The sequence below is a fragment of the Homo sapiens genome, chromosome 16 (genome assembly GCF_000001405.40).
Source record: "Homo sapiens chromosome 16, GRCh38.p14 Primary Assembly".
Lineage (NCBI taxonomy): Eukaryota > Metazoa > Chordata > Mammalia > Primates > Hominidae > Homo > Homo sapiens.
The window spans coordinates 4,599,618-4,625,620 of NC_000016.10; the positions used below are offsets into that span (position 1 = coordinate 4,599,618).

The window sequence follows — 26,003 nt, forward strand, 5'->3', positions numbered from 1 at the left end:
GGAACTGAGCTTCTCTGGTTCGGATCACCACGTAGCAGGCACCTGAGGGTACTTTACAGTTTACAAGGCAGTTTCTCCCTTATCTCATCAGAACCTCATCCCGACTCCTGTGAGGCAGGCACTGTTTGCCCATTTCACAGAGGAGGGAGCAGAGGCTCGGTCACTTTGAGCTGTGGCCCAAGATCACAGAGCTAGTGAGCTGGGAGCTGAGCCCAGATCCGTGGACTCCAAGCTTCATGTTCTCTCCCGGGGGCTCTGCTCCATTTAAGCAAACATTCCTGGTGTCATTTATCTTGGGTCACCCACCCAGGACATTTAGGGTGCCCAGGGCCCAGGTGAGGTATGGTGCCCAGCCGGCCATGGCCTGTACAGCACTTCTAGTCCTGGGCTTCTCTTCTCTTTAGTGGGGATGGCCCCATCAGGCTAGTGTCTCCCAAGAAGGTTCTTGGCACACATCTAGGGTTTCTCCTGCCCCTCCCCAGCCCTGTGCCCCCGCTCCAGTGCCTGCTCAGCTGCCTCGGGCCCTCACCTGACGATGCCAGCTCGACCACCTTCCCTGCCACCTCTGCTGCTGCTGCCACCGCTGATTCCATCCCTAAGGGACCCCCAGCAGGCCCCAGGGTCCACCAGGCTCTCAAGAGCTCCACACATTGAGTCCCGAGTCGGCAGGAAGCCCCCCGAGGAGCCCGCCAACCCGTGAGCCCCACCCCGCTGCGCCCCCCATCGCCAAGTCCCCTCCACGTCCGAGGCTGAGGCCCATGTGGCCCTCCCACTCCCACCAAGTCCCCTCCACATCGGAGGCTGAGGCCTATGTGGCCCCCCACCCCCACCCCCACCAAGTCCCCTCCATGTCCGAGGCTGAGGCTCATGCGCCCCCCCCCATCCCTACCAAGTCCCCTCCACGTCCGAGGCTGAGACCCATATGCCCCCCCCACCCCCACCAAGTCCCGTCCCCGGCTGAGACCCAGGGCCCTGAGCCTGGCCCAGAAAGGGTGCTGGGGCCCTGGATAGAGGGGAGGGGTCTGTGTAGGGGACCCCCATGCTGACCCAGTGGCTGTTTTATCCTGTGCATATAAATACAAACAGCACAGTGCACATTCTCATTCTACATTGTCATATAAACACAGCTTTCTAGAGTGAATTTTCCAACAAGCCAATTTAATTCCTTGATCCATTTTCAATACAACACCAAGTGGTTTGAAAAACACTTTTCCAGCCGGGCACAGTGGCTCACGCCTATAATCTCAACACTCTGGGAGGCCGAGGTGGGCGGATCACCTGAGGTCAGGAGTTTGAGACCAGCCTGGCCAACATGGTGAAACCCCATCTCTATTAAAAATACAAAAATTAGCCGGGCGTGGTGGTGGGCACCTGTAATTTCAGCCACTTTGGAGGCTGAGACAGGAGAATCACTTGAATCCAGGAGGTGGAGGTTTCAGTGAGCCGAGATGGCACCACTGCATTCCAGCCTGGGCAACAAAGAGCGAAACTCACTCTCAAAAACAAAAAACAAAACAAAACAAAAAACACTTTTCCTTTTTATTTGCTGAAATGATTTCATTAGAATCACTTCCAATTACAGTTCCTGGCACTGTGCCTTTCATTTGGGGGCCATTATTTCCAAGACCAGTTCCCCACGGGAACCAGACTGGGCTGTGTGCATCCTTTTTATTTCATGTTCTTTCTACCAGTAACTAGTTATTAATTTTTTTAAACAAAATCTGATTGTTTATATTTGCCTCTTGGCTGATCCATGAGGAGGCTGGTGCGGCGCCCGTGGGATATTCTGGGATGGCCATCCCTTCCAGGGCCAGGTGCCACTTGCCTGTTTCAAGCCTTTCTGGTTCCTGTGCTCACCACCGATGCGTTTGGTGGAAAAAGAGCCAACTGTGAGGTCACACGGTCTTGCTGCGGCAATTCAGGGATTGGCCTTGGCACGCAGAGCAGAGGGCTCCCCCAGGCCCCCCTCCCAACAATGCTCCTGGCCTCATTTCTTCCCCTTCTGACAGTTTGCCTGTCTCTCCCTTCAATTTCCTCCCTTTCAATCCTCCTCCCTCTTTCCTTTCTCGCCCCTAACGCTGTCTCGTTTTGCTCTCTCCTTCTGTACTATTGACGGTTCTATCCCATCTCGGAGACTAAAACAATGTCCCTGTGCAGGGGTGAAGCCTGACCCGCCGCCATAGTCCCCAGTGTCCACTGGATCCCTGGGGTGGTGCTGGGGAGTTGAGGGGCTGGTGGGGAGCTGCCAGGAGGGAGCTGGAGGGGGGCTCCCCTTTCACTTCCCTTTGGCTGCCTAGGGGGGGACTTTGGGCTCCAGTCTCTCCCCCGGCCCCGGTGGCCATCGGAGTCTGGGGACACTGCATGCCTACTCTGTTCCTATTGTCCTCAAGGTCCCTGGCCCAGCTCACTGCGACCCACGCCCCCCACCCTGGCTGCTCTTTTCTTTCTCCAAAGACTGTGTCCAAATGAGGCCAAGCCCCTCTTGACCTGGGTGACACCTATCCAAGCTGCCTTGGGGGTGCTGTCTGGTGTAGCCCTGGCCCCCACCCCGACCCCTATACCACAGATGAGTATTTTGGGCAATTTCTGCCCAGAACAAAATCTTCCACATTTCTGACCGTGGATGAGGGGACTGGCGGAGTGCCTTCTGTGTGGGGAGGTGGGACTTGCTGGTCCCTCCTCCAGCCACCACCCGAGGCTCAGCCCGTGGGCAGGAGAGAAGGCACCCAGGGTCACAGAGAGAGAGGCCCCAACTTGCCGGCCCCCACCAGGAGGCTGAACCTGCTGGGTCCTGTGACTTCCACCCCCTCCCACTGCAGTGAGGCGTGGCCCCCGCTCTGCTGAGCTGGGAGGGGAGGGCTCCTGGGGGACACCAGGCCAGGCCATCTTGACACGTGACACCCAGGGCATCCCCCGGTCCCGCACAGCTGGGCCCCCCTCTCCCTAGTGCCCCTCACTGCCTGTCCCCACTGGGCCCCTCCAGAGCACCATCCCAGCCCCTTTCTTGGGTGTACAAGCCAGGGCTGGAGTGAGTTTCTGCAGCCCAGCAGGTGAGGAGCGAGGCCTGGGGGCATCTCCTCTGCATCCTCACGGGCCACCTGGGGGCTTGGGAAGGTGGGGACTCCGGCCCCACAGCAGGCCCGTGAGGAGCAGTCCCGGAAGAAGGCAGTGCCCAAGGGAGGGTGTGGGGAGGCTGGCCTTGGCCTGGGTCCCAGGTGGGAGCTGCAGGCAGAATCTCCCCTAACCCACACTAGTGCAGAGGGGTGGCGCCTGCAGGCCTTGGAAGCTGGGAGGGGGAGCTGCGCTACTCCCTAGGCAGCAGCTGTGGCTTGGTTGGGCATAGCGGCTCATACCTGTAAGCCCAGCACTTTTGGAGGGAGAGGCTAGAGGACTGCTTGAATCCAGGATTTCCAGACCAGCCAGGGCAACAGTGAGACCCGTCTCTACAAAAAAATAAATAGCTATGCGTGGTAGTGCATGTGTGTGGTCCCAGCTAGTTGGGAGGCTGAGGCGGGAGGATCAATTTAGCCCAGGACATCAAGGCTGCAGTGAGCTATGATTGCACCACTGCACTCCAGCCTGGGTGACAGAAAACAACAACATGGCCGGGCGTGGTGGCTCACGCCTGTAATCCCAGCACTTTGGGAGGCCGAGGTGGGCAAATCACCTGAGGTCAGGAGTTCGAGACCAGCCTGGCCAGTATGATGAAACCCCGTCTCTATTAAAAATACAAAACATTAGCTGGGCATGGTGGCACGCGCCTGTAATCCCAGCTACTCAGGAGGCTGAGGCAGGAGAATCGCCTGAACCCAGAAAGCAGAGGTTGCAGTGAGCCAAGATCGCGCCATTGCACTCCAGCCCCGGGGACAAGAGTGAAACTCCGTCTCAAACAAAAAAAAAGAAGACAGATGAATTGGTCATGTGGGGAGAGGAGGGAGGGGCGCGGGGCTCTGTGAATGGGGTGGGCAGGAAGGGAAAGGAAGGTCCCACCTTGAGGTGCTGCTGGAATAGAGGAGATGCTGTGTGGTGACCACCTCACACTGCCAGGCCCATCCCAGCCCACCCCTGCAAGTGAAAGGTCATTCAACGTGTTCTCCCTTTCAAGGACCATGAACTCATTAACACTAAGGGATAAACAACAGACGCCAGCACGTGTGTTGGAAAAGGGCACTGTGAGTACCCGAAAGTGGACTGCCCAGGGTGGAAGTTCAGGCACCAGACAGAAGGGCGTGGCATGCAGCGACTTCTTAGGGACGCAGGAACCAACACATGCTCCCTCCAACCCCCCACACCCACTGTCCTGGCTGGCTTGACTTCTGACTCTCCATGGATGTGCGAGCTCTAAGCAGAGACCTTCCACACACACAACCGGCAGACAAGGGTTTCTCTCCTCTGCCTCCCTCACCTTGCTCGTGGCTCCACTGGGATGAGGACAAAATGACTCCATCAAGATCGTGGCTTTGCAATTCCCCAGGAGATGAGAGATGACCCCGGGAAGCAGAGCAGAATTTCACCAGCAGGCTCCTCGGTGCCTAGTGCTGTGCCACTGACAAGTCCTTGGTCATCCTGGAAGGGGCCCCCAATTTCTGCCCTCCCTAAAAGGACTCGGTAGCCCCTCACCTCCAAAACAGCCGTGTTCTTTTAAGGCTCTGTTGAAATACATCCGTTGTCCAAATATGAGCAGTGCTCAAAAACCCAGAGAACTTTCCAAACGCAGGAATTAGAAGTAGCCTTGTGTCAAAAGAACTCCATTCCGGCCAACCTAGGAGGTCTCCCGTATTCGGGGAAGAAGACCGGAGTCAAAGGACTCATCTGTCCTGTGCCAGGGACTGCTGTGAAAGCCCCTCAGAGACCTCCAGGGCCACAGCAGCCCCACCCAGCCCCGCAGTCAGCCTCGGAGACAGCCTGGTTCCCTGTGGCTGACCGCAGGGTGTTCTCAGAGAACCCTGGCTGGACCGCTGCAAAGACCCTGGGGACACTCAGCAGCCCCTGGTGAGTCCCTCTCGACCGAGAGCATCTTGCAGAACAAGCCGTCTGTTTTCACGGCCGTTTCCAGGGGGAGCCCTGCCCACCGCCGTTCATCCTACCCCACTGGACAGGGCATTTACTTCTGAAGCTCCCCGTGGTGAAAAGACAGACCCCCTCCAGGGATTCCAGCCGATTCCCACGCAGGAGTTGGACTCGTGCATGGCTGTGGTGGCGTAGAGCAGGCTGGCAGGGGCAGGCCACGCCGTGTCCCCAGTGCCATGGTCAGTTTCAGCCAGTTATGGCCTTAAGGGAATTTGCACCAAATCTTCCAGTTTCCAAGATAAGTCGGAAGTGAGGCTTTTCCCATAAACTCTCCTGATTTTTTTTCTTGAGACGGAGTTTCGCTCGTTGCCCAGGCTGGAGTGTAGTGGTGCCATCTCGGTTCACCGCAACCTCTGCCTCCTGGGTTCAAGCGATTCTCCTGCCTCAGCCTCCTGAGTAGCTGGGATTACAGGCATGCACCACCACACCCAGCTAAGTTTTTGTATTTAGCAGAGATGGAGTTTCACCATGTTGGTAGGGCTGCTCTTGATCCCCTGACCTCAGGTGATCCACCCACCTCGGCCTCCCAAAGGGCTGGGATTACAGGTGTGAGCCACCGTGTCTGGCCTCCGGTTGGTTTTGCTTTCGATTTTCCAGGCTTAGAGAAGTCATGGGAGGCTCCAGGTTCTTTGTGTCACATTCAAGGTCTGGGGCATGTGGTGATTTCGTAGGCCCACCTCTGGCTCCCCTAGAGTTAGTCCTAGCCCACGTGCACAGCCCCCTTCTTTTTGTAAGATGCCCCTGCGACCAAGGGCTCCAAGCACACCTGGTAGGGCCTCTGCATCTGCCGGAAAACACCTGCACTGCCAGCCCCAGCCCCAGCCCTGCCCTCCCCAAGGCTCCCAGACTGCTCCCACTGGGAGTGGTTCCCACCTGGCCTGGGGCACTTATTAAAAATCAGATCTGGGGCTGGGTGAGGTGGTTCACGCCTGTAATCCCAGCACTTTTGGAGGCCAAGCCAAGAGGATCACTTGAGGCCAGGAGTTCAAGGGCAGCCTGGGCAACATAGCAAGACCTCATCTCTACAAGAAAATTTAAAAAAAATTAGCCAGGTGTGGTGGCGTGCACCTGTAGTCCCAGCTACTTGGGAGCCTGAGGTGGGAGGATCACCTGAGCCCAGGATTTCAAGGCTGTAGTGAGCTATGATTGCATCACTGCACTCTAGTCTGGGGAACAGAGCAAGACCCTATCTCTAAAACACAAATCAGATTCTTTGACCCTCCTCCAGAACAACTGCCTCAAGGGAGAGGCCGGGAACGTGGGTGTTCAGCAAGCACCCAGGGGACGCTTGTGCTCTGGAAGTCCGGGGATCGAGTCTGCAGGCTCCCACTCACGATGTGGGGGGCATGACTAGATGGCACGTAAAAATATATGTGAAAGGAGCTATTTTCATTTTTTTCTGTTTTTTTTTTTTTTTCTTTTGAGGTGGAGTCTTGCTTTGTCTCCAGGCTGGAGTGCAGTGGAGCGATCTCTGCTCACTGCAACGTCCACCTCCTGGGTTCAAGCGATTCTCCTGCCTCAGCCTCCCGAGTAGCTGGGACTACAGGCGCCCGCCACCACGCCTAGCTAATTTTTTGTATTTTAGTAGAGACGGCTGTTTCACCATGTTGGCCAGGATGGTCTCGATCTCTTGACCTCATGATCCCCCCGCTGCACCCTCCCAAAGTGCTAGGATTACAGGCGTGAGCCACCTGCCCAGCCTGTTTTATTTTCAATAACAGCCTTGAGGTATAATTGACACACCAGAACGTCCACATTTCTAAAGCATGCCATTGAGTGGCTTTTGGTACAGTCACAGATCAATCACCATCATCTACCCAGGGAGCTTCCACGATTGTACGTCAGGGCCTCGGCCTCGGCCTCGGCCCAGAGAGTCTGATGGCATGAGGCCAACGAACCTGTGGTTTGCCAGTTTTATTTTACCTGCTGTGCAGCCAGGTATGAGAGCCACAGAACTAGCACAGAGGCACTCCACTGGGACCATGGTGGCCTGTAGGAGACATGAGCACTGGCTGCAAACACTTCCGATTGTCCTAATAAGGGGGCTGCCCTTGGATTCAGTGGGGAGGGCTCAGGGATACTGCTCAGCACCACTGCAGGACAATAACACAGCCCTCAATGTCAACAGTGACCACGCTGAAAAAGCCAGCCCTGCAGGAACCTCAAGTCTCTCCCGTCCTTAATGTGACCACTTGAGACCCCCAGGCCCAGCCCACAGTGGCCCCCAGAAACAGAAATGAGGGTGGTGGGACAGTTTCCCCGGTATTAGTGACGATGTAGGGATGAAGTGTAGGGACAATTCCTAAACTTTGATGTCTATCTGGAACCAGGGGCTCCTGTTCAATCAGTTTCTGATTCGGGGAGTCTGGGCTGCAGCCTCACTCTAACAAGCTCCTGGCTGATGCTGGGGTCCGAACCATGCCTTGAATAGTGAGGGTGTGGTTCACTACAGGCCACCCCAGGGCTCATGGTGTTTAATAAATGGAACTCCCCGCGGGGCGCGGTGGCTCACTCCTGTAATCTCAGCACTTTGGGAGGCCAAGGCAGGTGGATCACTTGAGGTCAGCAGTTCAAGACCAGCCTGGCCAACATGGTGAAACCCCGTGTCTACTAAAAATACAAAAACTAGCCAGGCGTGGTGGAGGGTGCCTGCAGTCCCACCTACCAGGGAGGCTGAGCCAAGAGAATCACTTGAACCTGGGGGGCAGAGGTTGCAGTGAGCTGAGATGGCACCACTTCACTCCAGCCTGGGTGACTGAGTAAGACTCCGTCTCAAAAAACAAAAACAAAAACACAGCACTCACGAGCCTCACACTGTGCAGAGTCCTGGACAGCGCTGCCTCATGCATGGCGGGCACGTGCAGCTACCTCAGCATGTGAGGTGGGAGAGTCCAGGGGCACTCACCCCACTTTGCAGATTACCCCAAAACACTTCTCTCTGCAAAGCATTTTTCCCACCACTGGAAGGCGGCTATGGCAGTTTCCTGAGAATTTTTTTTCCATATCAAAGAATCGAGGAGCTGCAAAGTAAAGACTCAGGAGGCCAGATATGTCCCCCCGTCTCCTCCTGCCACGTTCTCTCCCTCCCCTGCTACCCAGGCACCCCAGGCGGATGCAGGGGGCTAGCTGGCTGGCCAGGATCACCCGTCCTGTGGGCTCCGAAAGGCTATTACAAAGGCAGATTCCTGGGAGGGCCCATTCCTGGGAAGCAAGTGCGGCTTGAGCGGAGGTCACAGCAGCCAGTCGCCAGTGCCAAGCAGCCAGTGAGCAGCTGTCCCAGGTGGGCTCTGTCAACACAGCCTCTGCAGGTTCCAACCAGGAGATGAAGCCAGGCACTGGTGTGGCAAGAGCACCGAGGCACGCTTCCTGAGAGGCACAGTCACATCCCTGGGAGCCAGGAAGGGTCAGTGGGGAGTGTCGGACGCCAGGGGAGCACGGGACTTTCAGAAAGAGAAGATGCTCTTCCACCCAGCCGGCAGGGCCTCCGCCAGGGGCTGGTGCTATCTTAGACAGAGTGGGTGTTGCCCTTGAGGAGCTGTGAGCTGAGTCCCGTGGGGGTGTTGCAGAGGCCCCAGTCTCCCTTCTGCCCCAAGTCCAAGCCCACTCTTGGGGAGCTGTGAGGCTGAGGGTGCATTCTCCCAAAGCTGCTCCAGCTCATCCCAGGCAGCCTCGGGTTGCCAGTCTCCTAAGTGACCCAACATCTGTGCCCCCTTTGCTGGCAGCACTCCGCCCCATCCTTGTCCCCTGCCTCGTCCTCTGCCCCTTGCAAGCTTCCCTGGCTCTGTCTGCCCTCTGCCCAGAGGCCCTGCCCTACCCAGTGTGTGCTGGAGGCCGGGCTCAGAGGGTCCAGCCTGTGCCCAGCCACTGGAGCCGAGACCGAGAAAAGTCCTGAGATGAAACCCAGGACAACAGAAGGCAGGTGTGAGCCCTGCGAACTCCTAACTGGGCGCCGGGATCTGTCCAGCCAAGCAGGGGCAGGGGTGGGCCGACAGGATGGGGACCCAGGCCAGGAACTAACTTCACAGGAAAAGCCCTGGGTGGGCAGGAAGATTCCAGAGCACGCTGTGGCTGACAAGGGCTACAGGCAGCAGTGTGGAGCCGGGGAGGCTCGGGGTGGCCCTGTCTTCTGGGCGGCGGCCCCCAGAACCAGCTGGCAGCAAGCCTCGTATACAAGGTAAGACCACAGAGCCTGGCAGTGGTTTGGAATTCGTTCTTCTCTTTTGTTAAAAGGGGGAAAGGAAGTGGATGCGGGTACCCCCAGGTGCAGGGGAGGCATGCAGGCAGCCCCAGCAGGCAGGCGCTGGGAGGCGGTGGGAAGAGTCCTGGAGTTTCCCACAATCCTTTTCTCTGCAAGGAACAGCAACGCTGGCTGACGAGGGGGTGGGGAGGAGGCAGGGCCCTGGGGAGGGGGCGGCGGGCAGGGGGCTGGGGGCTCACACTAACATGCAAAGTCCAGCTGCCCCAGGAACTAGGTTGCTTCTGAAGAGCGACACACGTAGAAATACACAGACACGGCCACGCGCACACATGCGGAGAGGCTCTGCATTCCCTAGGGTGGGGGTCGAGGCCTGCCGGCCCCCAAGGAGCTCCAAGCCAGGGATCAGCAATGTCTCTGCCAGGGTGGTCCTCCACGGCACCCCTGGGCTGGGCTGGGCAGGTGCGTCTTCGAAGGAAGGCTGCGTGGTCTCTGAAGTTCTGTCCGCCAGGCACCCAGGCCGCGCTGAACCACTCCATGTGCCGGGGCCGCTGGGGCCATGACCTTGCGTGTGGGCAGCTGCGTGTTCTGGCACCAGACGTGTCCCTGCCTGGCTAGAGTCCGCGCTCTCCCCTCCAGGGCTCCGGGGAACAAGGGGTGCAGACAGAAAAGGGGTGAAGGGGGCCCGCAGAGACGTCCTCTCCCCCGCCCCACGGGGTCCTGGCCTCCGGGAGGGGGGAGGGGCCTCCCTTATCTCTCTGCCTCCATGGCAGGGTGGGCCCTGGGTTCTGAGGTGGCCTGTTGGGGGGCCAGGGGTGGCCAGTCTGAAGCCGGAGAAGGGGGTGTTGGAGTCCACAGGGGCGGCTGTGGCTGGTGGTGCTGTGGGCCCCCCGGGGGCGAGGCCGCCGTGGGCCAGCTGGAGGCCGCAGAGCTGCTGGTGGCGGCATGGGGGAAGTGTGGCGGGGGTGACGTGGCTGTCGCGGCCATCGGGCTGCCGCTGCCACCGCTGTGGAAGCTCTCGGAGGCCTTGAGACGGGAGAACATGGTGAGAGCGTCAGGGAAGTTGGGGGGTGTAGCAGGGGTATTGGCGGGGGTGCACATCTGTGAGGGGAAGAGAGGAGAGATGGGGTGAGCACCCCTTCCTGGAGGGGCCCCCACTGCCTCCCAAGGGGAGATGCGTGGCTGGCCCATTCTCGGAAGGCTCTGTGTTCCTTCCCCAGATCCCCAAGCCTGTCCGCCGCCCAGGGGTTCCCAGAGGAGAAGCCTTGAGATGAACCGACCCAGCCTCACTCTCAGGAGCCCACGGTGCCTGGGGCCACGAGGCTTTCCCAGCCCACCCCTTTCCATCAGCCACAGCATCCCCGGGGGCTGTAGGGTAAGGAGCTTCATTGCCCCAGAGGCCAGCGCCCCCCAGGTCTCAGGGGGAGCTGGCACAGGCAAGATTAAGTGCAGGACCCACGGAGCCGGGACTCCTGCTGACCCATCTCCAAAGAGGTCGAGCCCCGCCTGCACCAGCGCCCTCGTACACCGGGGCCAGGGGCTGCTTATACACAGAACTAGCTCGGCCTCCTTCCGCCCAATCCAGAACTGGGGACTCCGGGGACACTTACCATCTGGTGGTGATGGTGGCTGTAGGGGATGTTGGTCTCCTGGAAAAAGGCGCTGAGGGCTGTCTGCAGGAAGAAAGGCCCCTGCTCACCCTCCAGGCCCCCGCCGGCCCTGCCGCTGCCCTTGTTCCCAGGCTCCTCTGAGGCTGGGGATGACCCTGGCTGGACTGCTGAGTGGGAGGGGTGAGTCGCGGTGCTGAGGCTCAGTGGCTTGCCTGTCACCCCCAACCCTCACTGCTGTCTAAGGAGGAGCCACGGAACCTTGGGCAGTTGGGGTGGGTGGAGAAGACCCTTCCCCTGCTGCTCGCCACCTGCCTCAGTGCCTAAGGCCTGCAGAGCCCTCCCCCTGCACCAGCTGGCACCAGCACCATGACTGGGGGAGGGCGGGCAGTACACCCCATCCTGGGGGAAAGGCGCCCGGCCCCAGGTAGCCCAACCAGACCTCCCCACCCTGCCCCGTTTCAGGAGATTCTAGCCTGGCTGTTACCACCTCAACGGGTAGCAAGTCTCTACTCTTCTCTAAGCCTCGGTCTCCTCATCTGCGAAGCAAAAGCATCCTGAAGGAGTCTGAGCCTGGTGGTGGGGATCCCCTGCTGCCCCACCCAGCTCTGCTTCTGGCTGATCAAGGGGGCCACTGTTTGGGCCTTGGTTTCTCCATCTGTACCACAAAGAGGTTCGACTAGGTGGCTCCTGGGTCCCCTCCCTTGCAACAGTGACCTCCTAAGATCACCAGATTCCAGCAAGCAGGGCCTGGCACCAAGGAGACAAGCCTGGGCTTTAGGCTCACTCGCTTCCCCACCTGAGCCTCCCTCGGAACAGTGCCCGGGAAGTGGAGCAGAAAGACGGCCCTAGGATCAAAGCCACCACGGGTTTACGACAGCTCCCAGCACAGCTCCCCAGCCACCCGCCCTTGGCTGGCACCACGCTAGGCACGGGATGCTCCACCGTCTCCCTCCACACCCGGGCCGCATGCCACACTGAGCACGGTGCGGGCACCCAGCAGGGCTCCATCCCAGCGGGGCCGTGGACTGTCATCATTAACCCCACAGGCAGGGACTGCTGTCTTACAGGCAGGGAAATGAAGGTAGGAAGTGACTTGCTCAGGGTCAGCTGGTCGGCAGAAGACAGAGATGGGGGCGCTCAGAAAGGCCAGGACAGGTGGGGGAGACAGAGCGAGCCTGGAGCCCTTTCCTGTGTGTGTCAGCTCAGCAGGCTCCAGAGGTCCTTGGTGACTGGGAACTGAGGAGCCCCAGAGGGAGGCGCTGGGATTTGCTATGTCCTGGCTGAGGCCCTGCAGGGGTGGGGAGGCCTGTCCCAGGAAACGGAGGCTGCTCTTGCGCAAGGGCCAGTGAGGGAGCCCCACAAGTATTTGAGGGGTTCTCGGGGCCCTGCCAAGTCCCAGGCCCAGACTTGGAGCTTCAAGCCGCCGAGGTGCCCCTACCGCCACCCCTCAGGCCCACTCCCCTAATGCCAGCTTGACTTCCTGGCCCTCCCAGGCCCAGCACACCCAGAAATCCAGCCTGGCTCCTGGGGCCTGCCCTCGATCAGGGGGTATGGGTGGGAGGCTATTTAGATTTTTTTTTTTTTTTTTTTTGAGACGGAGTCTCGCTCTGTCACCAGGCTGGAGTGCAGTGGCGTTATCTGGGCTCACTGCAACCTTTGCCTTCTAGTTCAAGTGATTCTCCTGCCTCAGCCTCCCGAGTAGCTGGGACTACAGGCACGTGCCACCACACCTGGCTAACTTTTGTATTTTTAGTAGAGATGGGGTTTCACCATGTTGGCCAGGATGGTCTTGATCTCTTGACCTCATGATCCGCCCACCTTGGCCTCCCAAAGTGCTGGGATTACAGGCATGAACCACCGTGCCCGGCAAAAAATATTTTTTAAATAAATGAATTATGTGGGGAATTTCCTGCAGGAGACACCCTATCTGGGTGTCCCTAAACAGGGGTGTGGGAGCTCAGGCATGGGGGCCGGGCTTTAAGCACCTTCCCAGACCCCAAGACCCTCTGTCAGCAGCAGCTGTGCCCCAAAGCCCAGGCTCACTGTGTAAATCCCAACCCCAGGAGCCCCAGGCCACACCAGACCCCCTCTGCAGGCCGCTGTGAGCATTCTCCATTGAGAAACATCTGCCCCACTAGACACCGGCCCCTCCCCCTGCAGCCTCCTGCCCCCATTAGCACCTGAATTGCAGCAAATGTGACCCAGAAACACCGCCTGGTGGATGCAGCCAGCGGGTGGAGCGTGGAGAGGGATGGGGTGGCCATGTGAACCCCTCACTCAGCCCCATTCCAAGGCCTGAAGTCCCGTCACCTTCCTCCAGCCTCCCTGGCGGCCCCCACTTTACAGATGGCACAACTGAGACTTGGGAGTGGAGGGCACAGGGCTCCTCCCATGGGGACCCTGGGAGCCACCAGAGGCCCCAGATGCTCCTGCCCCTCTGGGAACAGTCTTTCCCCAGACATTGCACTCCTCAAAGCTGCATTTTCAATTAACTGTGCCGCTGAGGGATGTGGCCTGGGTGCCAGCTGGGTGCCAGGTTTTGAGGGCTGGGCTGAGTCCTGCAGGCAGGGCCCGCTTCCCACCGGACACCTACCTGCCCAGCCCCAGGCAGCGAGGGAACCCTGCGTGCAGATGTGTAACTGCCATGAATGCGGTTTTGCAAGTTTTGCCACATCCAGCCCCTGACACAAACAGGGCTGATGAGGGCTGTGGAGACCAGGAGGGAAGCAGGGAGCTTCCTCCGGGTGGGGCTGCCTTGGGGCACAGGGGGCAGTAAGCTGGCCAACAGAAGCTGACTCATGCCCCCCAACCCCACCATACAGATGTGGAAACTAAGGCCAGAGGGACAGAGCAGCCTCCCACGTCCTGGGGTGAACACCACACAGGATCAGTGGCCTCCGCGACGGCTGGTAGGAGGGAAGTAGGCAAGGAGAGAGGGATGTACTCATCTGGATGGGATGGCCACTGCCTTCCCAGACTGTCCCAAGCTTGGGACATTCTGATCCCCCTGCAGTCCCCAGGAAGCGGAGCCTCAGAGTCCTCTGGCTTCTAGTCCCTCCTGCAGGCCCTGGGATGGCTCCTCATGGAGAAACCAGGTTCCCAGTCCCCGGCTGGGCACAGATGGTACCGGGATGGCTGAGGCCATGACCCTACCCCTGTGAGGGGCACAGCTCAAAGGGCTCTGGCCTCATCCCCTGATACCAACCACCATGGGGTTAATCCTGGGGTCGGTGAATTAGGGAAAGCCAGGTAGCCTCTGGGCAGCACAAGCCAGGAGCACTACTGTCCTATGGGTTAGGAGAGGCCCGGGGGAGTGGGTGCCAGACCGGGGCAGCATCACCTCCTACCCAGCTAGCCCGAAAGCTGGTGAACCGTGTGCACCCTCCCCATTGCACCGGTAAAGGGACAGATGCCCCTGCCAGCCCCAGGAGAGCACCTAGTCGCGCACACGGAGTCCCCAGGCACACCTCTGAAGGGGATACACGCTCATCCCTGTGGTGTAGTGTGGGGCTCCGACACGCCACCCCTACACTCCAGGCCGTGTACACACATCACACCGTGCCGGGCACGGGCGGCATCTGCACACCCGCCACATGTGTACGCGTTGATCACACACCAAACGCACCAGGGGGCTGCGCGTTCACACGCGCGCCAACGTGCCCGCAGGTCCGCCACCTCCCCGGTGCCCGGCCGACGCCGTGGCGCGGTGCGTGCGTAAACACAAATGCACATGGACGTGTGCGCACGCCGCCGACCGCCCACCAGGCACGCGGACCCTCGGACCACTCGCCCGGAGCGGCTCCGCCCTCCGGCCCAGCTCTGCCGAGGCCTGGGGCGTCCTCCTTCCGGCCGCCCGCCCGACTGTCCGTCTGCACCGCGGGGCCGCCCGGCCCTCGGCCGTTACCCGGACAAAAGGGGTGGGGGGGGTCCCCGTCTCGATCCCGGGGGACTCGCGGCCCCGCGGGGGCGGCGTATCCCCGACCGGTGGCCCGGTTCCCACCTCCGCCCGCCGCGAGCCCTTGGGATCCGGACGCCGGGCACCGCCGTCGGGAAAGCGGGTCGGGTCTGCGGCCCGGAGGGGGCGCACAGCCGGCACGCGTCCACGCCGTCCGCCCCCGCCCGGCGGCCACGCGGGACACACTCCGCCCGTGGCCCCGGCCCTCGCCCGGCTCCGGCGCCGCGCACCTCGAACTGCCAGTGGGCCGCCTGCAGCAGTTGCTTCGCCTGGTCGGCCGCGCAGCCCGCCGTCAGCACGAACTGGTTGATCATGACCTGGTGCTTGAGCTCGTCCATGTTCACGGACATGGCGCCGCCGCGCTGCCCGCTCCGGCCTCCCTCCTCCGCCCGCGCCTCCGCCTCACGCGTCCACCATTAGCGAGCCGGCTCCGGCTAATACAAATATTTACTGTGCGGCTCTGACTCACCGCGCCTCGCCTCGCTCCGCCGGCGCCGCGGCATGCTGGGATATGTAGTCCCCACGGTGCGCCGGGCGCCCCGGGGGAGCGGGGCCGGCACCCTAGGGGACGCGAAGCCCGGGAAGGGGCGTGTCTGAGCACCGAGCGCCCGCTGTGCGGATGTCCGGGCCGTAACCCGAGCCGGGCGCGTCCACGTCGTCCTCGTTGCTCTCGGTGGCACCCGTGCCCCTGCTCTGGCACGGATGGGGGTCCGCTGGCGGGGGCCACGTCTGTGCATGGGCGCAAATGCCTGACCACAGGATCTTGGCCAAGGCCTGGGGACCGTGTCTGAACTGTGAGCGCCTACTGTGTGTGGATGCCCGGGCCGTGACCAGGGTTGGGGGAGTCCACGTCGCCCTCGTTGCTCTGGGTGGCACCCGGCCCCTGCTCTGGCACGGATGGAGGTCCGCAGGCGGGGGCCTCAGGTTCGTGCATAGGCGTTTTTGCCAAGGCCCAGGAACGGTGTCTGAAAACTGAGTGCCTAATGTGTGCAGGCGCCTGAGCTGGGACCAGAGCCAGTCACGTCCACGTCGCCCTCGTTGCTCTCGGTGGCACCCACGCCCCTGCTCTGGCGGGAATTAGGAGCCCAGAGGCCGGGGCCACAGATCTGTGCATGGGCGCAAACGCCAGGCCACAGACGTCTTTGCCATGCCCCGGGGACTGTGACTGAACGCTAAGTGCCTACTGTGCGCAGCTGTCCAGACCGTGACCAGAGCCAGGCACGTCCATGTCGCCCTCATTGCTCTCGGTGGCACCCGTGCCCCTGCTCTGGCACGAATTGGGGTCCCAAGGTGGGGCATACAGATCTGTGCATGGGCGCAAACGCCGGGCCACAGGCGTCTTTGCTAAGACCTAGGGACCCTGAACCCCTCTGTGATTGGCATCGCTCTGTGTTAAATAGTAGGCACGCCCTTAAGAGAGGGGTCTCTAGGAATTTTGGCCCAAATCGGCTGGTCTAGGCTGAAAGGCCCGGCACACTGTAGGCGCCGACAAATACTCGTTCAGTGAATGAATGAATGAGCCACTTAAAAGCTCCGCCGCACGTCACCGCCTATAGCTAGCCTCCTAGCTCTCCTCACTCAATCTCTCATCGCCCACTCGTGGCATGGGTCCTTCCTAGCCTGGCTCTGGGCCTGCCCCACTGTAGCCCCATGACCCTCTGGACGGCGCCTGGGACAGGCTGGCGGGGCCAGCAGCCTCTGGTGCTTCGGGGTCCCCCTCCCAGCAGTTCTCCCGCTTTCCCACGCAAAATCTCGTGCTCTTTGCCGGAAATCTCGGCCCTTAGCGGGCGGGCGCCAAGGCCCGGCAGAGCCAGTTCCGGAGCGGCCCCAAACTCCCTTTCCCAGAATGCCTCGGTTTATTTGCATCGTTTGGTCCCGGTGACGTCAGCTGAGTGAGGTCGTGCCTCGACCAATGGACAGCCTCGGGGTGTTAGGACCTGGCCATATAAGGTAAACAAAGCTGGTCGCCCAATGAAGAGGCGGCGGGGGCGGGCGCTGGGCCGGGGAGGCCGGGGGCGGAGCCGGGGGCGGGGCGACCGGGCGGTGTTTACAGACCGGCACATGGCGCTTCCGGTTGACGTTGCTGACAGCTAGTGAGGCTTTAGCCCGCTTCGAGCGCCCGGGGGCGGTAAGGCGCGATCATAGCAGCTCTAGGTGACCTTGGTCCGGCTCCTTGCGCCCCCTGGCCCCAGCCTCCTTCGTTGAGACACTATTTGTTGAGTCTTTCCTCTTTTCCTGGCCCTGACCTAGCGTGGGGCGACAGAAGAGCAATAGCCGGGTGGGGGCTGTGAGAACGGCTGGGGTTGGGAGCGAATTTCGGAAACCCGGAGGACGAGTATAGCCTTGCAAGATGGAAAATGCCCTCCCGGGCTGGCGCGGTGGCCTGTAATCCCACCTACTCGGGGTCCGAGGAGGGAGGATTGCCTAGGCCCAGGACTTTGAGAACACGCCTCTACAGAGATTTACATTTTAAGAAAATTAGCTGAGTTCGGGTCGGGCGCAGTGGCTCACGCCTGTAATCCCAGCACTTTGGGAGGCCGAGGCTGGCGGATCACCTGAGGTCAGGAATTCGAGACCAGCCTGACCAAAACGGCGAAACCCGTTCTCTACTAAAAATACAAACACTAGCCGGGCGTGGTGGCAGTCGCCTGTAATCCCAGCTACTCCAGAAGCTGAGGCAGGAGAATCGCTTGAACCCAGGAGGCGGAGGTTGCAGTGAGCCGCGATCGCGCCACTGCCCTGCAGCCTGGGCCACAGAGCAAGACTCTGTCTCAAAAAAAAAAACCAAAAAACAAAGCAACAACAAAAAAACAGAGAATTAGCTGGGTTCCATGGCTCACACCTGTAAGTAATCTCAACACTTTAGGAGGCCGAGATGGGCGCGGATCACTAGAGTCCAGGAGTTTGCGACCAGTCTGGGCAACATAGTGAGACCCTCGTCTCTACAAAAAATAAAAAATAAAAAAAATTGGCCGGGCGCCGTGGCTCACGCTTGTAATCCTAGCGCTTTGGGAGGCCGAGGCGGGCAGATCCCTTGAGGTTAGGAGTTCCAGACCAGCCTGGTCAAACCGTCTCTACTAAAAATACAAAAATTAGCCGGACATGGTGGCACACGCCTGTAGTGCCAGCTACTGGGGAAGCTGAGGCAGGAGAATTGCTTGAACTCAGGAGGCGGAGGCTGCAGTGAGCTGAGATCGCGCCATTGCATTCCAGCCTAGACGACAGAGCAAGACTGTCTCAAGAAAAAAAAAAAAATTCTGGAGTCCCAGCTACAGATTGAGGTAGGAGGATTGCTTGAGCCTGGGAAGTCAGAGGCTGCAGTGAGCCGTGATTGTGCCTGGGGAACAGCGCAAGATCCTGTCTCCAAAAAATAAAAAATGCCCTAGGGAGGCCGGCACTGGCCCTGGGGGTGAGTTAGGGGATACTGAAATGTGTAAACAGATCTGATCCCTTGGACACGTTGGGATCACTGTGGCTGTGGCTGTGCTGGGATCAGATGGTGGTGGAGAGCTCCGGTCTGAACTAGGCGACGTTCTTGATGTGTCTGGTTCCAGGGGAGTCTGCCCTGCCTTCGGAATTGGATGGAATGGAGGGAATTGCCTCAAGCTGCGGCTCCTACCCGGGCCCCTCAAGCCTGACCAAGGACTCTCCCATTGGGTGGTGGGAGGAGGACAGTAGGGGAACTAGTGGACTGGACCTGAAATGTCCTGGGGTGGGAGGGTAGGGTGGTGGGGAAGGCTTGGGGCACTGAGATAGCGGAGAGGGCTGGGGAGGGAAGGGAGTCAGGGTGCAGTGGAGTTGGTCTCTGAGGGCTGGGGCTGGGAGCCTGGCCTATAGGCAAGGGGCGGACACTGAGTCTTGGCTTTTCCCAGGCAGGCACTTAGCCTCGGCAGAAGCCATCTGACCACGGGAAATACAGTTTAAAATTCTTTCCTGCTGTTTGCGGATCACTTAGGGGCCACAGTATTTTGTAAACCCTGATGGTTCCAAGAGATGTTTGCTCTTGCTAAGAGTTGCTCCTTAACCTTTGCAAAGCTCATATGCATGAATTAATATGGGCAAAGTGCTCCACAGGGTAGGCCCACAGTAAAAACCAGCTCTGAATATGATTCCCGCTATAATAATTACCACTAGGACGACAACACAGTGTGGTAGAAGGTGGGCAGGTTCGGGAGCTAGACAGACCTGGGTGTCAGGCTTGACTCCGCTGCTTAATGACTTAATGCTTAATGTTGAGCGAGTTACCAGAGCTCTGGGCTTCACTTTCTCACTGGCGGGGCTGAGTTCTGGCCTCACTGCTGTGGAAGATTAATGCCTGTAAAATGCAGAGTGCAGGGCCTGGTGCTATTTGCACGGTTCTAGTGCTCTCACCTGTTTGCCTCCATCTGGACCACTCTGGGAAGCCCTAGCCCTATTTTACAGATAAAACTGAGGCTGGAATCCAGCCTTACCCTCTGACATTCAGAACCTGTGGAGAAGAGCGGGCACCCATGGTGCATTTCTGGCAAGGGAGGAGGGACACTGTCCCGGCAGGGCCCACTAAGGGCTTGCCTTGCATAGGGAGGCAGGAAGTGCCTTCACCCCTCCTTCCACCATCGTCCAGGTACCACTCAGCTGCCTGCCCAGGCTTGCCCAGCTCAGGAGGATCTCTCTCAGGCCAGCAGGCTGGCAAGAGTTGGGCAGGTGGGGCTGGCAGAGTCAAAGGTCACCCTACTGGTCTCCATGCAACCCCCTCACCCCCATCCCCTAAGCCAGCTTGTTTTTCCACGGGCAACAGGGAATTAAAAAACAACCTTGTTTTTAGCCAGGATTAGCCTGGTTGGAGAATGAACTTTGGATTCCTTAGCAGGCTGGGATGGAACCTGACAGCTGGGGCCAGCACCTAGTGGGAGGGAGAGGAGAAGGCATTTCCAGCAGTGCCCTTATGTCACCTGAGGGCCCAAGAGGTTCAAGGCTTTGCCAGACTTCACATGGCCAGTCCATGGGGGGCCCAGGGCCCTGGCCGCCTCCTCCTCACCCCATTCTTTGATTTATTCCACAGATGTGCTTATCAGACACCCACCGGGTGCCTGGCTCTGGGAGCACCAGAATACGCCAGGATCCTGCCCACTCAGGGGGTTGAGAAGTCTAGACTTGAGACTCAGGCACTCAGACCAGGAAGCCACCAGTCGTCTCCAGCGTCTGTCTTTATGTTTCTTTTTTTTTTTTTTTCATTTTATTTTATTTTTGAGACAGGGTCTCACTCTGTCACCCAGGCTGCAGTGCAGTGGCACAATCATGGCTCGCTACAGTCTCGACCTCCCAGCCTCAAAGGATCCTTCCACCTCAGCCTCCCAAGTAGCTGGGACTACACATGTGCACCACCACGCCTGGTTAATGTTTATATTTTCTGTAGAGACAGGGCTTTGCCATGGTGCCCAGGCTGGCCTCGAACTCCTAGGCTCAAGCGATCCACCTGCCTTGGCCTCCCAAAATGCTGAGATTACAGGCGTGAGACACCGCACCTGGCCCTGTCTTTACGTTTCAGAGAGCCCAATGCTGGCTGAATGTGAGGCAAGATCTGGCCCTTGCCTTGCCATCTCCCTCACTTGATTCTAGTCCTGTGCCGTACTCAGTTCTTTCCCACTATAGAGGTTTTGTATATGCCATTACCCCTACCTAGAACCTGGAGCAGCCTAATCCCTCACACTTTGCCTGGCTGGCTATTAATTGTATTTCAAGTCCTGGTTTAGCAACCGGCCGCGGTGGCTCACGCCTATAATCCCAGCACTTTGGGAGGCCGAGGTGGGTAGATTACCTGAGGTCAGGAGTTCAAGACCAGCCTGGCCAACATGGTGAAACCCCATCTCTACTAAAAATACAAAAATTCGCTGGGTGTGCTGGCACGCGCCTGTAGTCCCAGCTACTCGGGAGGCTGAGGCAGGAGAATTGCTTGAACCCAGGGGGCGGAGGTTGCAGTGAGCTGAGATCGCTCCACTGCACTCCACCTCGGGCAACAGAGTGAGGCTGCGTCTCAAACAACAGCAACAACAACAGCAACAAAAAATAAATCAAGTCCTGGCTTAGCTGTCACCTCCTCAAAAAAACCCCTTCCCTGACTCCCCTGCCAATAGTGTCAATTAATTGCATCTCAACGTTTTCTGCAGAGCACCCACCACATTCTGGAATTATATACTTGTTAACCTTTCTAGCGTCTATTTCCTCACCTGCCTGCAGCCTCCATGTCTAGCTTGTCCTACCATTTGATGCCTGTTGCCTGGTTCATCACCTGTCACATAGTAGCTGCAGGATAAATATTTGTTGAATAAATCAATGAATTGGCCAGGCATGACGGCACACGCCTGTAATCCCAGCACTTTGGGAGGCCAAGGTGGGGGGATTGCCTGAGGTCAGGAGTTAAAGACCAGCCTGGCCAACGTGGTGAAACCCTGTCTCTACTGAAAATACAAAAATTAGTTGTGGGTGCCTGTAATCCCAGCTACTCGGGAGGCTGAGGAAGGAGAACCGCTTGAACCTGGGAGGCGGAAGTTAAAGCGAGCCGAGATCCCACATGATCATGCCACTGCACTCCAGGCTGGGTGACAGAGTGAGACTGTGTCTCCAAACGTAAATAAATAAATGAATCCAGGCCGGGCACGGTGGCTCACGCCTGTAATCCCAGCACTTTGGGAGGCCGAGGCGGACAGATCACCTGAGGTCAGGAGTTCGAGACCAGCCTGACCAACATGGAGAAACCCCGTCTCTACTAAAAATACAAAATTAGCCGGGCGTGGTAGCACATGCCTGTAATCCCAGCTACTACGGAGGCTGAGGCAGGAGAATCGCTTGAACCCGGGAGGCGGAGGTTGCAGTGAGCCGAGATTGCACCATTGTCCTCCAGCCTGGGCGACAGAGCGAAACTCCATCTCAAAAAAAATAAAATAAATAAATAAATAAATAAAAATAAATGAATCCACTCAGATGTTGATAATGGAACTTGGACCAAATCGGGAAGGGCCTGTCTTCCATCTGGGTGTGGGTAAGCACAGAAAAATACTGCTGAAAGGGCTTTGAGGACACCTTGAGTCCAAAGCTCTGTTGAGAAGAAGAGTTAATGAAACATCCACCTGGTGGAAATGACTGCTCTGGCACAGGCTCCATAGGGAGGATATGCTCTTAGTGTTGTTTTTCAGTGGGAACAGCTGATGCTCAGGACTCTCCCTTCCTCCCCGCAAATGAGGAGGGCAGTCAGTTGAATGCAGCGTTGATACACAAATACATGTACATGTACGTGAGTTACGTGATTCAATGGAAAGAAATATAAAATGAAGAGAGATCACAATGGGTGGGGGGCTTCAGGCCCATCCATCTGGGGGCAAGAGCCTGGCAATCTGGCACTCTGGAGCATGCCTCTGTGGAGGCAGGGACGTGCCCAGGTAAGAGCAGTGGCCTGGCTCAATTCCAGCTGTGCCACCCACCTACTGTGCAACCTCATTAGGGTACTTCATTTTTCTGAGCCTCACTTTACTGTTTTGTAAATTGGTAATAGAAATAGAATCTACATCAGATTGTTTTTCTGTGACAGAGTCTTGCTCTGTCGCCTAGGCTGGAGTGCAGTGGCGCGATCTCCGCTCACTGCAACCTCCGCCTCCCAGGTTCGAGCAATTCTCCCATCTCAGCCTCCCGAGTAGCTGGGATTACAGGCACGTGCCACCACACCCAGCTAATTTTTGTTTTTAGTAGAGACGGGTTTTTGCCATGTTGGCCAGGCTAGTCTCCAACTCCTGACCTTGAATGATCCGCCCACCTCGGCCTCCCAAAGTGCTGGGATTCCAGGTGTGAACCATTGCACCCGGCCAGATAATTGTTTTTTAATTATTATTATTTTTGGAAACAGAGTCTCGCTCTGTCACCCACACTGGAGTGCAGTGGGGCAATCTTGGCTCACTGTAACCTCCACCTCCCAGGTTCAAGCGATTCTCCTGCCTCAGCTTCCCGAGTAGCTGGGATTACAGGCACATGCCACCACACCCAGCTAATTTTTATGTTTTTAGTAGAGATGGGGGTTTTGCCATGTTGGCCAGGCTGGTCTTGAACTGACCTTGGGTGATCCGCCCACCTCGGCCTCACAAAGTCCTGGGATTCCAGGCGTGAACCATTGTGCCTGGCCAGATAATTGTTTTTTAATTATTATTATTTTTGGAAACAGAGTCTCGCTCTCTCACTCCCACTGGAGTGCAGTGGCGCAATCTGGGCTCACTGTAACCTCCACCTCCCAGGTTCAAGCGATTCTCCTGCCTCAGCCTCCCCAGTAGCTGGGATTACAGGCGCGCACCACCACGCTCAACTAATTTTTTGTATTTTTGGTAGAGACAGGGTTTCACCATATTGGCAAGGCTAGTCTTAAACCCTTGACCTCAAGTGATATGCCTGCCTCGGCCTCCCAAAGTGCTGGGATTACAGGCGTGAGCCACAGTGCCTGGCCTGTTTTTTTAATATTTTATTTTTTAAAATTTTTATCCTTTTTAGAGATAGGGTCTCACTCTATCACCCAGGCTGGAGTGCAGTGGCATGATCATGGCTCACTGCAACCTCGACCTCCCAGGCTCAAGCTATGCTCCTGCCTCCACCTCCAGAGTAGCTGTGACTACAGGGGCGTGCCATCACACCTGGCTAATTTTTACATTTTTGGTAGAGACAGGGTCATGACATGTTGCCCAGTCTGTTCTGGAACTCCTGGGTGCAGGCTATCTGCCTGCCTCGGCCTCCCAAAGTGTTAGGATTACAGGTGTGAGCCACTGCGCCCGGCCAACATCAAAGAATTATATGAGAGGATATGTGCAGAGCCCTCAGCATGATGCCTGGCACATAATGCTCAGTAAGTGTGGATCTTGGTTGTGGGGCAGGGAGATTTAATCAGGCTCCTCCAAGACCTGGACCTGCATCATAATCACACAAGTCTCTTGGCTGCCGTACTCATTTGGCTTCCCAAGTTCCCCTGACAAGAGGAAGTCTGAGGCCAGGTGCAGTGGCTCATCTCTAATCCCAACACTTTGGGAGGCCAAGGCAGGCGGATCACTTGAGGACGGGAGTTCAAGACCAGCCTGGCTAACATGGTGAAACCCTGTCTCTACTAAAAATGCAAAAATTGGCTGGGTGTGATGGTGCATGCCTGTAATCCCAGCTACTGGGGAGGCTGAGGCACGAGAATCGCTTGAACACGGGAGGCAAAGGCTGTAGTGAGCTGAGATTGTGCCACTTCTCTCCAGACTGCGCGACAGAACAATTTAAAAAAAAAGAGGAAGACTGGATCCTGGACTGTGGTCTCTGGAAGGGTATAAGAAGCATTTCCACATGGACTGTGGTGAATTGACCATTGGAGACTCAGTCTGCCTTGCCCTCCCTAGCTGCTTTCTTGGTACAGCAGGCTTGACTTGGGAAATCACTCTGCTCAGAATCCAAGTTCCTCAACTGAAAAGTAGGTAAAAAGCGATCTATTTGCAGAGCTGTGTGTGACTCAAAAGCCAGGGAACACCTTGCACACTGCGAGGTTTTCATTCTGAAAGCGATTCTTGCAATCTTGCCCGCAGCGCCATTTCATGCGGCTCTCTCTCCTCTGTGCCTCAGTTTCCCTGTGTGTAAAATGTGGGAGAGTCTACTGCCTTCCGTGGAGGCTGTGAAATTATGTCTTTAAACTAATTGGTCCAGACGTGGGGCCAAAGTATCGGGATTACAGGTGAGCCACTGCACCGGGCCTCAGCCTTGTCAGGGGGCCGGAGGTTGCTTAACCCCCTGGATCCCAGCTTCCTCATCTGTAAAACGGGCTGATGCCTATACAGCTCTCAGAACCACACCTGGTTCAGAAGTCCCCAAATGGTAGTCCTCAAATTCTGGCCAAGGCCAAAGCAGGTGCTTCACTTCTTCCGTGCACACCCTGCAAGTGGGCTCCGGGTGGCAGGTGCAGCTACGCCCTCTGCCGGTCGGGGCGGGAGACAAACTCAGGGGAGTGGGGAGAACCACAGCGACTCAGGGAGCTATTTCAGAGGGGGCAAGTGGAAGGCGCTGGGGCTCCAGGAGAGTCTGTAAGCGAACAGATGAGGAAATGACCAAAGAGTTAATATGTTAGTGCAGCGCTTGGAACGCAGAGGGAAGGACCATTTGCCCTGTGGTTGGTTGGTTCCTTCCCTCTGAATTTAGGTCCATTTGGTTTGTCCCGGAGTGCTTGTCAACCCGTCAGAGGGCCTGGGAACGGAGCATCCTGGGAAAGATAGTTCCCAGACGGGCTTCCCGCGCTGCTTCCCGGCGCCTTCGGCGGCGAGAGGACTCCATTTCCCGACGTGCCCCGGGACCGGGAGGCGGAGGGCCGCCGTGGCGTCGGTCCCCGGGCCGAGCCGGGGGTGGGGGCTCGAGGCGCCTCCGCGGCCGTGGACGAGCGTCCGTGCGGCCTGGTCCGGGCCATGTCCGCGTGAGGACCCCGCCGCTGTCGCCGCTCCCGTTCCGGCCCTGGCCCCTCTGCCCGGCAGCGCCGCGCACCATGGGCTCCATTCTCAGCCGCCGCATCGCGGGGGTGGAGGACATCGACATCCAGGCGAACTCGGCCTATCGCTACCCTCCGAAGTCCGGTGAGCGCCCGGCCCCAGGCGCGGACTGCTAGGCACGCGCTGGAACGCGGACCCGGCGGGCGCGGGGGCGGGGACTCGGGGCGGGGCGCCCTGCTCGGCCCCCTCCGGGCCTCGTTGCTACCCCGAGCCTTCGCGCGGCCCCACGGCCCCGATCCCTAGGCGTGGCTGGGGGCCCCGGAGGAACCTGCCCGAGCCGTACCTGGCGCTGCTACTGCCCGGCTTGGGTGACCTTGGGGCAGTCCCTTCGCCCCGGGCACCTCAGCTCCGTCCTTGCAACAGGGGGGAGCTCCTGGGGGAAACCCCGAGGGCGGGGCGGGGTGCTGAGCGCGGGTCCCGGCGCATCGCTTCTGCCTAGAAAACTCTCATTGTCATCAGATTGACCTCACCGCGGGGGCCGGCTTTCGCTTTCTTTAGTGGCTTGGTGTGAAGGCCGAGCCAGTGGTTTGGGCAATTTCCCTCCCATCAGGACGGAGGCTCTTGGTGTGTGGGTTGGAGGAGTGGGGCTGGGCCCAAGGAGACGATTATAGTTGATCGGGAGGGGCCAGGGTCCTTGCTGAGAGGACCCAGCCGAT

General features: G+C 58.4%; 3 protein-coding genes across 13 annotated transcripts in view, besides 17 other annotated features; 2 read left to right on the forward strand and 1 right to left on the reverse strand.

Moving 5' to 3' along the window:
• The window catches only part of C16orf96 (chromosome 16 open reading frame 96), a 62,158-nt gene extending 61,017 nt beyond the window's left edge, over nt 1–1,141 (forward strand). For all 5 annotated transcript variants that reach the window (NM_001387219.1, XM_047434053.1, NM_001145011.2 and 2 more), the window contains one exon: nt 483–1,141. In NM_001387219.1, coding sequence (NP_001374148.1) covers nt 483–700 — 218 coding nt within the window. In that variant the 3' untranslated portion in view covers nt 701–1,141. The remainder of the gene's footprint in view (nt 1–482) is intronic.
• An 8,125-nt stretch (nt 1,142–9,266) lies between these two features.
• Nucleotides 9,267–15,271, reverse strand: UBALD1 (UBA like domain containing 1). Of its 3 annotated transcripts, none has more exons than NM_001330467.2 (3): nt 15,061–15,271; nt 10,876–10,938; nt 9,267–10,291 (listed from the first exon to the last, which is right to left on the reverse strand). In NM_001330467.2, exons 1-3 carry the CDS (start codon nt 15,178–15,180, stop codon nt 10,016–10,018), a joined length of 459 nt encoding a protein of 152 aa, NP_001317396.1. In that variant the 5' UTR covers nt 15,181–15,271; the 3' UTR covers nt 9,267–10,015. The 3 variants fall into 3 exon arrangements, with proteins under 3 accessions (NP_001317396.1, NP_660296.1, NP_001397961.1); NM_145253.3 differs by having other exon boundaries at nt 9,267–10,366; NM_001411032.1 differs by having other exon boundaries at nt 9,267–10,366; nt 14,876–15,271.
• Nucleotides 11,485–12,120: an enhancer, noted in NCBI's record as "H3K4me1 hESC enhancer chr16:4661103-4661738 (GRCh37/hg19 assembly coordinates)". NCBI's record gives its function as "activates a minimal SCP1, AML or CMV promoter by ChIP-STARR-seq in naive H9 embryonic stem cells {active_cell/tissue: H9 hESC(naive)}" and the evidence as "EXISTENCE:reporter gene assay evidence [ECO:0000049][PMID:30033119]".
• Nucleotides 14,452–14,621: a silencer, noted in NCBI's record as "silent region_7154". NCBI's record gives its function as "represses an Ori minimal core promoter by ATAC-STARR-seq in GM12878 lymphoblastoid cells {active_cell/tissue: GM12878}" and the evidence as "EXISTENCE:reporter gene assay evidence [ECO:0000049][PMID:35858748]".
• Nucleotides 14,702–14,811: a silencer, noted in NCBI's record as "silent region_7155". NCBI's record gives its function as "represses an Ori minimal core promoter by ATAC-STARR-seq in GM12878 lymphoblastoid cells {active_cell/tissue: GM12878}" and the evidence as "EXISTENCE:reporter gene assay evidence [ECO:0000049][PMID:35858748]".
• Nucleotides 14,852–14,951: a silencer, noted in NCBI's record as "silent region_7156". NCBI's record gives its function as "represses an Ori minimal core promoter by ATAC-STARR-seq in GM12878 lymphoblastoid cells {active_cell/tissue: GM12878}" and the evidence as "EXISTENCE:reporter gene assay evidence [ECO:0000049][PMID:35858748]".
• Nucleotides 15,292–15,531: a silencer, noted in NCBI's record as "silent region_7157". NCBI's record gives its function as "represses an Ori minimal core promoter by ATAC-STARR-seq in GM12878 lymphoblastoid cells {active_cell/tissue: GM12878}" and the evidence as "EXISTENCE:reporter gene assay evidence [ECO:0000049][PMID:35858748]".
• Nucleotides 15,483–16,055: an enhancer, noted in NCBI's record as "NANOG-H3K27ac-H3K4me1 hESC enhancer chr16:4665101-4665673 (GRCh37/hg19 assembly coordinates)". NCBI's record gives its function as "activates a minimal SCP1, AML or CMV promoter by ChIP-STARR-seq in primed H9 embryonic stem cells {active_cell/tissue: H9 hESC(primed)}" and the evidence as "EXISTENCE:reporter gene assay evidence [ECO:0000049][PMID:30033119]".
• Nucleotides 16,056–16,627: an enhancer, noted in NCBI's record as "NANOG-H3K27ac-H3K4me1 hESC enhancer chr16:4665674-4666245 (GRCh37/hg19 assembly coordinates)". NCBI's record gives its function as "activates a minimal SCP1, AML or CMV promoter by ChIP-STARR-seq in primed H9 embryonic stem cells {active_cell/tissue: H9 hESC(primed)}" and the evidence as "EXISTENCE:reporter gene assay evidence [ECO:0000049][PMID:30033119]".
• Nucleotides 16,056–16,724: a biological region, named in NCBI's record as "NANOG-H3K27ac-H3K4me1 hESC enhancer GRCh37_chr16:4665674-4666245".
• Nucleotides 16,465–16,724: an enhancer, noted in NCBI's record as "active region_10341". NCBI's record gives its function as "activates an Ori minimal core promoter by ATAC-STARR-seq in GM12878 lymphoblastoid cells {active_cell/tissue: GM12878}" and the evidence as "EXISTENCE:reporter gene assay evidence [ECO:0000049][PMID:35858748]".
• Nucleotides 16,775–17,004: a silencer, noted in NCBI's record as "silent region_7158". NCBI's record gives its function as "represses an Ori minimal core promoter by ATAC-STARR-seq in GM12878 lymphoblastoid cells {active_cell/tissue: GM12878}" and the evidence as "EXISTENCE:reporter gene assay evidence [ECO:0000049][PMID:35858748]".
• Nucleotides 24,871–24,980: an enhancer, noted in NCBI's record as "active region_10342". NCBI's record gives its function as "activates an Ori minimal core promoter by ATAC-STARR-seq in GM12878 lymphoblastoid cells {active_cell/tissue: GM12878}" and the evidence as "EXISTENCE:reporter gene assay evidence [ECO:0000049][PMID:35858748]".
• Nucleotides 24,871–25,468: a biological region, named in NCBI's record as "H3K27ac hESC enhancer GRCh37_chr16:4674556-4675086".
• Nucleotides 24,938–25,468: an enhancer, noted in NCBI's record as "H3K27ac hESC enhancer chr16:4674556-4675086 (GRCh37/hg19 assembly coordinates)". NCBI's record gives its function as "activates a minimal SCP1, AML or CMV promoter by ChIP-STARR-seq in naive H9 embryonic stem cells {active_cell/tissue: H9 hESC(naive)}" and the evidence as "EXISTENCE:reporter gene assay evidence [ECO:0000049][PMID:30033119]".
• Nucleotides 24,991–25,285: an enhancer, noted in NCBI's record as "tiled region #9899; HepG2 Activating DNase matched - State 1:Tss, and K562 Activating DNase unmatched - State 1:Tss". NCBI's record gives its function as "activates a minimal TATA promoter and a strong SV40 promoter by Sharpr-MPRA in HepG2 and K562 cells {active_cell/tissue: HepG2 | K562}" and the evidence as "EXISTENCE:reporter gene assay evidence [ECO:0000049][PMID:27701403]".
• Nucleotides 25,051–25,230: a silencer, noted in NCBI's record as "silent region_7159". NCBI's record gives its function as "represses an Ori minimal core promoter by ATAC-STARR-seq in GM12878 lymphoblastoid cells {active_cell/tissue: GM12878}" and the evidence as "EXISTENCE:reporter gene assay evidence [ECO:0000049][PMID:35858748]".
• The window catches only part of MGRN1 (mahogunin ring finger 1), a 66,147-nt gene continuing 65,352 nt past the window's right edge, over nt 25,209–26,003 (forward strand). For all 5 annotated transcript variants that reach the window (NR_102267.2, NM_001142290.3, NM_015246.4 and 2 more), the window contains exon 1: nt 25,209–25,431. Coding sequence is in view for 4 of the 5 variants with exons in the window: in NM_001142290.3 (NP_001135762.1) it covers nt 25,344–25,431 (88 nt within the window). In the remaining variant the exon portion in view is untranslated. The remainder of the gene's footprint in view (nt 25,432–26,003) is intronic.
• Nucleotides 25,469–25,998: an enhancer, noted in NCBI's record as "NANOG-H3K27ac hESC enhancer chr16:4675087-4675616 (GRCh37/hg19 assembly coordinates)". NCBI's record gives its function as "activates a minimal SCP1, AML or CMV promoter by ChIP-STARR-seq in naive H9 embryonic stem cells {active_cell/tissue: H9 hESC(naive)}" and the evidence as "EXISTENCE:reporter gene assay evidence [ECO:0000049][PMID:30033119]".
• Nucleotides 25,471–25,700: a silencer, noted in NCBI's record as "silent region_7160". NCBI's record gives its function as "represses an Ori minimal core promoter by ATAC-STARR-seq in GM12878 lymphoblastoid cells {active_cell/tissue: GM12878}" and the evidence as "EXISTENCE:reporter gene assay evidence [ECO:0000049][PMID:35858748]".